The sequence below is a fragment of the Homo sapiens genome, chromosome X (assembly GCF_000001405.40).
Source record: "Homo sapiens chromosome X, GRCh38.p14 Primary Assembly".
Taxonomy (NCBI): domain Eukaryota; kingdom Metazoa; phylum Chordata; class Mammalia; order Primates; family Hominidae; genus Homo; species Homo sapiens.
In genome coordinates, this window is record NC_000023.11 from 11,701,393 (window position 1) to 11,709,225 (window position 7,833).

General features: G+C 47.7%; 1 pseudogene, besides 2 other annotated features; it reads right to left on the reverse strand.

Annotated features, from left to right (window-relative positions):
* Positions 2,743 to 3,242: an enhancer, noted in NCBI's record as "H3K4me1 hESC enhancer chrX:11722255-11722754 (GRCh37/hg19 assembly coordinates)". NCBI's record gives its function as "activates a minimal SCP1, AML or CMV promoter by ChIP-STARR-seq in naive H9 embryonic stem cells {active_cell/tissue: H9 hESC(naive)}" and the evidence as "EXISTENCE:reporter gene assay evidence [ECO:0000049][PMID:30033119]".
* Positions 2,854 to 4,221, reverse strand: LIMK2P1 (LIMK2 pseudogene 1; annotated as a pseudogene).
* Positions 3,259 to 3,760: an enhancer, noted in NCBI's record as "H3K4me1 hESC enhancer chrX:11722771-11723272 (GRCh37/hg19 assembly coordinates)". NCBI's record gives its function as "activates a minimal SCP1, AML or CMV promoter by ChIP-STARR-seq in naive H9 embryonic stem cells {active_cell/tissue: H9 hESC(naive)}" and the evidence as "EXISTENCE:reporter gene assay evidence [ECO:0000049][PMID:30033119]".

The following is a 7,833-nucleotide window of genomic DNA, read 5'->3' on the forward strand; positions in this document are numbered from 1 at the left end:
CACTGCAACCTCTGCCTCCCAGGTTCAAGTGATTCTCCTTCCTCAGCCTTCCGAGTAGCTGGGATTACAGGCATCCGCCACCATGCCCAGCTAATTTTTGTATTTTCAGTAGAGATGGGGTTTCACCATGTGGGCCAGGCTGGTCTCAAACTCCTGACCTCAGGTGATCTGCCTGCCTCAGCCTCCCAAAGTGCTAGAATTACAGGCATGTGCCACCCCACCTGGCCAGACATATTTTAAAAGTCATACATTCCATGTTTGGTCTTCAAGACCTCCCAGTGTATAATACATGCAAAACAATGAACAGACACAGGATTGGCAAAGATTCACCTATGATCATCTCCCTCACTGCCTCACTGGGAAATGTATTTTATTACAGATAACAGTCTCAGAAACCAGTTTTCGCTTGGACAAATCATTAATAGGTACCTAACAAATAACTGATTGTTCTTCCTGGCATATTGCCTAATTTAATACTTGCCCCCACATTTTGTCCCTTTCTGCACAGCAAAATACAATTTCTAAATGTGTAAATGATACAAAGTCAGTACTTTTAATAAGATGAATAGAAAGAGTCTCATATGCTGACTTATAATCTCTTGGCTCATTTTCAAAAGTTGACGTGTATATCTCAACCTCACTGCAATGCACGAATGCATGCAAACTGTTCCCCTAGTTTAAAAAATCTTGGATTTTAAAAAATTGCTTGTTATACTAACTGCTTAATTTACTGAGTCTGATCAATGGCCCAGTTCAGGCCCACCACTCCCACACTTACTGGGGACAGCTGAGGCACAACCAGCCACACAATACTGAACTGAGCTGCTGCTGGGAGTCCAGGCTCAACCCTACAACAAGCTTGCAAACTTCACATGTAAGTATAGTCTGTATAGCAAGGAAACTCTGGCCAGAGATGACATTTGATCCCACAGCTCATCAGGTCTATGTACGATATTTCACACACCACCCAATAGATGTAATGACAAGATAATATTAACAACAACCACTTTCCTGGATCACTCCCCTCCCCGCAACACACCACTCCAATACAACGGCCACACATTGCATTAATACCCCAAACCTATTCTCAATTTGTTAAATATGGTGCAAGCTCACAGTTAGGAGGATGCAAATCTAGTTGAGCCAAAGAGTCCCTGGAGCTCTGGGAGCCTAGGTGGAGGGTCACCTCAGAGCTTTCCAGTACCCGCAGCTGTGGCTCAGGCAGCTGTGGCTCAGGCAGCTGCAGCCAGGAACTAGTGAGGTGGGACAGCCAATGAGGGAGGTAGAAGTCAGCTGGCCCAGCTTGGGGAGGTGTATCTCTCAGCATCTCAGCTTTGGGACTCTGCCACCACCTCTTCCTAGCCCAAGCTGCTGCCTAAACCAGGCATGTTGAAGGGTGAACAGTGGCTGCCACAAGGCCAAGGCCAAGGCCAAGAGATTGCTGACACTCTCACTCCCTTGCCTGAGCCCCTAGGCCTGTGACAAGCCACACTGTCCTCCAGAACCCATCTAGCTCTAGGCAAAATGTCTTAGGCTTCTGACTGAGGAGTCCACCAGGGCATGAGTAACAAAAGCCAGGATCTGGGCTTTCTAGAGGGCAGGGCCTCTTTCTTTCTAGTCCCCCAGCTTCTTCCTCTGCTTGAAGGTGACTGTTGCAAACAGACAGGTTGTTGCCCATAAGTTCTCAGCCAGTCTCCGGTAATTAGGTTTGAAAACATGAGGTAGAAGCTTCCCCTCACATTGATGTTGTCCCTGGGCTGGCTAGAGTCACCCTCTGGCAGGTGAACAGAAGCCAGCCCTTTTCTTGACTCCTGGCCAGTTGTGCCACACACCAAAACTCTTCAAAACCTACTCCCTCGACCTCTGCTCCAGGAAGGGCAGGACCCAGAGTGGAAGTGGGGAGCACCACTGTCTTTTCACACCCTTTGAGTTTCTTCTGGCCACCATTCTTTCCTTCATCCACACTCCCACTTGCCCTCCTGCACCCAGCTGGACTATAGACTTCAGAGTTCACAGGCAGGTTCACCCTGGGATCCTGCCTAGCAAGTCCAGGTCACGCTGATTATTGTAAGAGATTACACTAATCAGCGTGACCTAGAAGCTCCTGGGTGGATCCGAGTAACAGATTTCCTCCTGGCCCAAAGGCCGGGCTTTTTTTTTTGTCTTCTTCACAGCTTTCAGGTGAGTGCTGGATTTGCAGACAGTAACCAGGCCCTCAAACCTGTGGAGATACATTTTCCTGGTGCTGCATCCATTCGTCTCCTGGGGAGATAGAAGAGATGGCTTGTTCTGCTTCTTTTTTGTTTGCGTTTTGAGACGGAGTTTTGCTCTTGTTGCCCAGACTGGAGTACAATGGCACGATCTCGGCTCACTGCAACCTCCACCTCCCGGGTTCAAGCAATTCTCCTGCTTCAGCCTCCTGAGTAGCTGGGATTACAGGCATGTGCCGCCACACCCAGCTATTTTTTTGTATTTCTAGTAGAGATGGGGTTTCTCCATATTGGTCAGGGTGGTCCCCAACACCTGAACTCAGGTGATCCGCCTGCCTCGGCCTCCCAAAGTGATGGCTTACAGGCGTGAGCCACCGCACCCTGCCGGCTTGTTCTGCTTCTAAACAAGCTGCCAATCCACGGGAAGCCCGAAAAACCCTGCTCACAGCAGGGATGGAGAACAGAGGAGCAATGCTGGCTGTGGAACACCCCCCTGCAGGGGGCTGGGCCAGGGCTAGTGGGGTGAGTCTTGGATCAGGCCGTACTGCATGCTCACAGTGTGGTCCAACTCCTCCAGCCCTACAGGCGGCGGGATGCCCAGCTCCCCCAGGTACAGAGAGTCCTCCAGTTTTGAGAATGCCAGTCTGCTCTCGGGCTCCAGTCTGCAGTAGATCATGGCCAGGGGGAAGAAGGTTGGAGGGCAGTCTGTGGGGACAGACTTCTCCCAGAAAAGCATCATGCTGAGGCCAAAGTCCAGTGTTTGGGGAAGGAAATCGGGATCTGCATACACCTGCCCAATGGTCTCACAGAGAACGATCCCAAAAGAGAATACATCCACATTTCGTCATAGCTCTTTCCATTCAGCATCTCAGGTATCATCCAGTAGAGGTTTCCCACCACCATGTAGCACTTCTTGAAGTTGTTCTTGTGCAAAGTACATTTCTTGGTGGTGGCCATTCTGGAGGCAATGCCTTTGGCCAAGCTGACTTCCTGCTGCCAGGGGAATGGGTCCACACTTTGCAGAAGGTCCTTCAGCATGCCCCCCTCAATGTCCTCTCAGCAGGTTCAGCTTCTTGTCCTTGTACAGCACGCCAATGAACTTGAGCACATTGGGGTGGTCCAGGCTTCACGTCACTTTCACTTCAGTCAGAAAAGTCTTCTGGTTCTCCTCATCACATCGCATTAATTCCTTCATGACCAACACTTTGCCTGTGGCTTTGTGTGTCACTTTGATAGCCTGCCCAAAGAAGCCCTTCCCCAGGACCTCCCCGTGGATCAGGTCACAGGACCGGAAGTTCTGCTTTGAGTAAGTGCTGGAACAACAAAGGGATTCCCAGCAGCTGATGTCACGGCTGAGCAGCAGGGGCTCCTTTGGAGAGCTAGGGCTAGGGGACTTGGAGATGCTGTTACTGAGTCTTAGGGAGCATCTTCTCAGTGTCCCCTCCAGATTATCCTTGGTGTCCAGGGTGCTGAGGGCGTGAGGGTGTCCAGCATTCTGTGTGTGGGGAGAGAGCCAGGCATCCAGCCGCAGCTGGGCTGGGGACCGGGAGACAGGGTCATGTTCAATCAACAGCAGAAGTGTCTGGCTCATCTGGCTAATTGCATCCTCCAACTCCTCTACTTGGAGTGTGTGGGTGGGGGTTCCACTGATCTCCAGGATGTGGTCCCTGGGGTGGATGGCATTGCAGCTGTTGGGACTGATGTGCATCTGGTTGACCTCTTTTACTTGCACGGTGGTAACATAGTTGGAGCAGGCATTCTCCACGGACACGGAGAAGCTCCGCCTGCCCTCTGTGATGGCCAGCATGGACATGAGCATGACAGAGTAGGGCAGCTGGTCCTGAATGGACTCTGTGGAGAGTATCTCAAATATGGGTGCCAGCACCACCTCATTTGTGGCACTTTCCACAGTATAGGGTGACACGCAGCACCAGGGCGTATGCATCCCCATCCTCAATGGTCACCTTATAGCTCACACAGGCAAAGCATTCTGGATGGTACTTGAACTCCCTATTAGCAGCAGCAAATCTGCATGGGTCTGCAGCAACCTCAATTCTTCCTCCTCAGAAGAAAGAATTCGACTGAGGGGCATAAGAGAGAGTGAGAGACCAAGGCAAGTTTCAGAGCAGGAATGAAAGTTTATTAAAAAGCTTTAGAGCAGGAATGAAAGGAAGTAAAGCACACTTGGAAGAGGGCCAAGCAGGAGACTTCAGAGATCAAGTGTGCAGTTTGACCTTTGACTTGGGGTTTTACATGTTGGCATTCTTCTGGGGTCTGCATCTTGTCTCCCCTGATTCGTCCCTTGGGGTGGGCTGTCCGCATGCGCAGTGGGCTGCTAACACTTGGGAGGGGCTGCATGCACAGTGTGTTTACTGAAGTTGTGCACATGCTCACTTGAGGTGCTTTATGTGGTCCCCACAGCCCTGACACCTCCAGGCATCTTCACCTTGGTCCTGGCATTACCACTAGTTGAGTGACCTGGACAACTTCATTTTCTTCCCTAAGCCCCAGTTTCTTCATATGTAAAATGAGGAGATTGTACATTATCTCAAAAGTCTCTCCTGGCTCTAGCACCCACCAGTGCAGACATGGTCCCAGGAGCATAGAAACGGGGAGGAGGAAGCAGGGCCGCAGCAGCACCAATAAGCTCCCACCTCTGCCTAGGCGAGGGAGGACCTCAACCCCAGGCACGAATGGGCGGATTTTTAAATCTATGATTAATCTAGGATTCCTTTGAGTAAGACTTCAAAAAATAACTTTAATATTAGAAAAGGGTTTTGATTGTTTTCCTAATAAATGTGAAAGGAAAACATTAGATCATTTTTCATGGTTTGAGCTTTAATCTGATATTTAATTATGTTTCTGCTTTGCTACAATCAATGAAAGTATGTTGCTTTTGTTTTTGAAATCTTGACATCAACCCAGGATAAATGAATAAAATTTCAAAAAATTAATTTGCTAACACAAAAGGCTTTAGTTATTTTACTTTTAAACGTAAAGTTACAGAATAGCCACCATTACATAATTCGAGCTTTAATAAACTCTAATAAGAAACATATCCTTGTTTAAAATATTAGAACATAATGGCTCTATGCACATTGATTTTCTTCTTTTCTATAACTGCTATGCATTTTGATTCAAAATTAGTTTTTACAGGATTTCTTTTATAAATTATTATCTTGGAGCCTATAAGTAACAAATTTCTTTTCTCTGATCATTCCATAAGCCAAAATATTTCAAACCAGATGTACATGTGAGTTGTGTGTGTATTCTTTATCCACTGACATTTCAAAATTCTATTTAATTATATCTTCATATTTTAAAAATCAGATGATTCAGGGGACTGATTCGATAAGTTGTCTTACTTCCACTAGTGGAATACCATGCAACTGCAAATCCAAGGACTAAGAAGTTCTCTTAAGTTCCAATGTGGGAAGATGTCCAGGTAATATTGTTGAGTGAAAAATCCAAGGCACTGAACAATGTGTGTGTATATTTATATATATAGAACACCACCTTTTGTAAAGAAAAGGTGGAAAATAAGAATAAATATTCATAGGAGTAAAACTTCTTGAGGAATAATGTTTCGTGTATTTTGCCTTTTGAACCAAGTAAATCAAAGAACTATTCAAAAATAACAATAAGGGGGGGAGGAGCCAAGATGGCCGAATAGGAACAGCTCCGGTCTACAGCTCCCAGCGTGAGCGACGCAGAAGACGGTGATTTCTGCATTTCCATCTGAGGTACCGGGTTCATCTCACTAGGGAGTGCCAGACAGTGGGCGCAGGCGAGTGTGTGTGCGCACCGTGCGCGAGCCGAAGCAGGGCGAGGCATTGCCTCACCTGGGAAGCGCAAGGGGTCAGGGAGTTCCCTTTCCGAGTCAAAGAAAGGGGTGACGGACGCACCTGGAAAATCGGGTCACTCCCACCCGAATATTGCGCTTTTCAGACCGGCTTAAGAAACGGCGCACCACGAGACTATATCCCACACCTGGCTCGGAGGGTCCTACGCCCACGGAATCTCGCTGATTGCTAGCACAGCAGTCTGAGATCAAACTGCAAGGCGGCAACGAGGCTGGGGGAGGGGCGCCCGCCATTGCCCAGGCTTGCTTAGGTAAACAAAGCAGCCGGGAAGCTCGAACTGGGTGGAGCCCACCACAGCTCAAGGAGGCCTGCCTGCCTCTGTAGGCTCCACCTCTGGGGGCAGGGCACAGACAAACAAAAAGACAGCAGTAACCTCTGCAGACTTAAGTGTCCCTGTCTGACAGCTTTGAAGAGAGCAGTGGTTCTCCCAGCACGCAGCTGGAGATCTGAGAACGGGCAGACTGCCTCCTCAAGTGGGTCCCTGACTCCTGACCCCCGAGCAGCCTAACTGGGAGGCACCCCCCAGCAGGGGCACACTGACACCTCACACGGCAGGGTATTCCAACAGACCTGCAGCTGAGGGTCCTGTCTGTTAGAAGGAAAACTAACAACCAGAAAGGACATCTACACCGAAAACCCATCTGTACATCACCATCATCAAAGACCAAAAGTAGATAAAACCACAAAGATGGGGAAAAAACAGAACAGAAAAACTGGAAACTCTAAAACACAGAGCGCCTCTCCTCCTCCAAAGGAACGCAGTTCCTCACCAGCAACAGAACAAAGCTGGATGGAGAATGATTTTGACGAGCTGAGAGAAGAAGGCTTCAGACGATCAAATTACTCTGAGCTACGGGAGGACATTCAAACCAAAGGCAAAGAAGTTGAAAACTTTGAAAAAAATTTAGAAGAATGTATAACTAGAATAACCAATACAGAGAAGTGCTTAAAGGAGCTGATGGAGCTGAAAACCAAGGCTCGAGAACTACGTGAAGAATGCAGAAGCCTCAGGAGCCGATGCGATCAACTGGAAGAAAGGGTATCAGCAATGGAAGATGAAATGAATGAAATGAAGCGAGAAGGGAAGTTTAGAGAAAAAAGAATAAAAAGAAATGAGCAAAGCCTCCAAGAAATATGGGACTATGTGAAAAGACCAAATCTACGTCTGATTGGTGTACCTGAAAGTGATGTGGAGAATGGAACCAAGTTGGAAAACACTCTGCAGGATATTATCCAGGAGAACTTCCCCAATCTAGCAAGGCAGGCCAACGTTCAGATTCAGGAAATACAGAGAACGCCACAAAGATACTCCTCGAGAAGAGCAACTCCAAGACACATAATTGTCAGATTCACCAAAGTTGAAATGAAGGAAAAAATGTTAAGGGCAGCCAGAGAGAAAGGTCGGGTTACCCTCAAAGGAAAGCCCATCAGACTAACAGCGGATCTCTCGGCAGAAACCCTACAAGCCAGAAGAGAGTGGGGGCCAATATTCAACATTCTTAAAGAAAAGAATTTTCAACCCAGAATTTCATATCCAGCCAAACTAAGCTTCATAAGTGAAGGAGAAATAAAATACTTTATAGACAAGCAAATGTTGAGAGATTTTGTCACCACCAGGCCTGCCCTAAAAGAGCTCCTGAAGGAAGCGCTAAACATGGAAAGGAACAACCAGTACCAGCCGCTGCAAAATCATGCCAAAATGTAAAGACCATCGAGACTAGGAAGAAACTGCATCAACTAATGAGCAAAATCACCAGCTA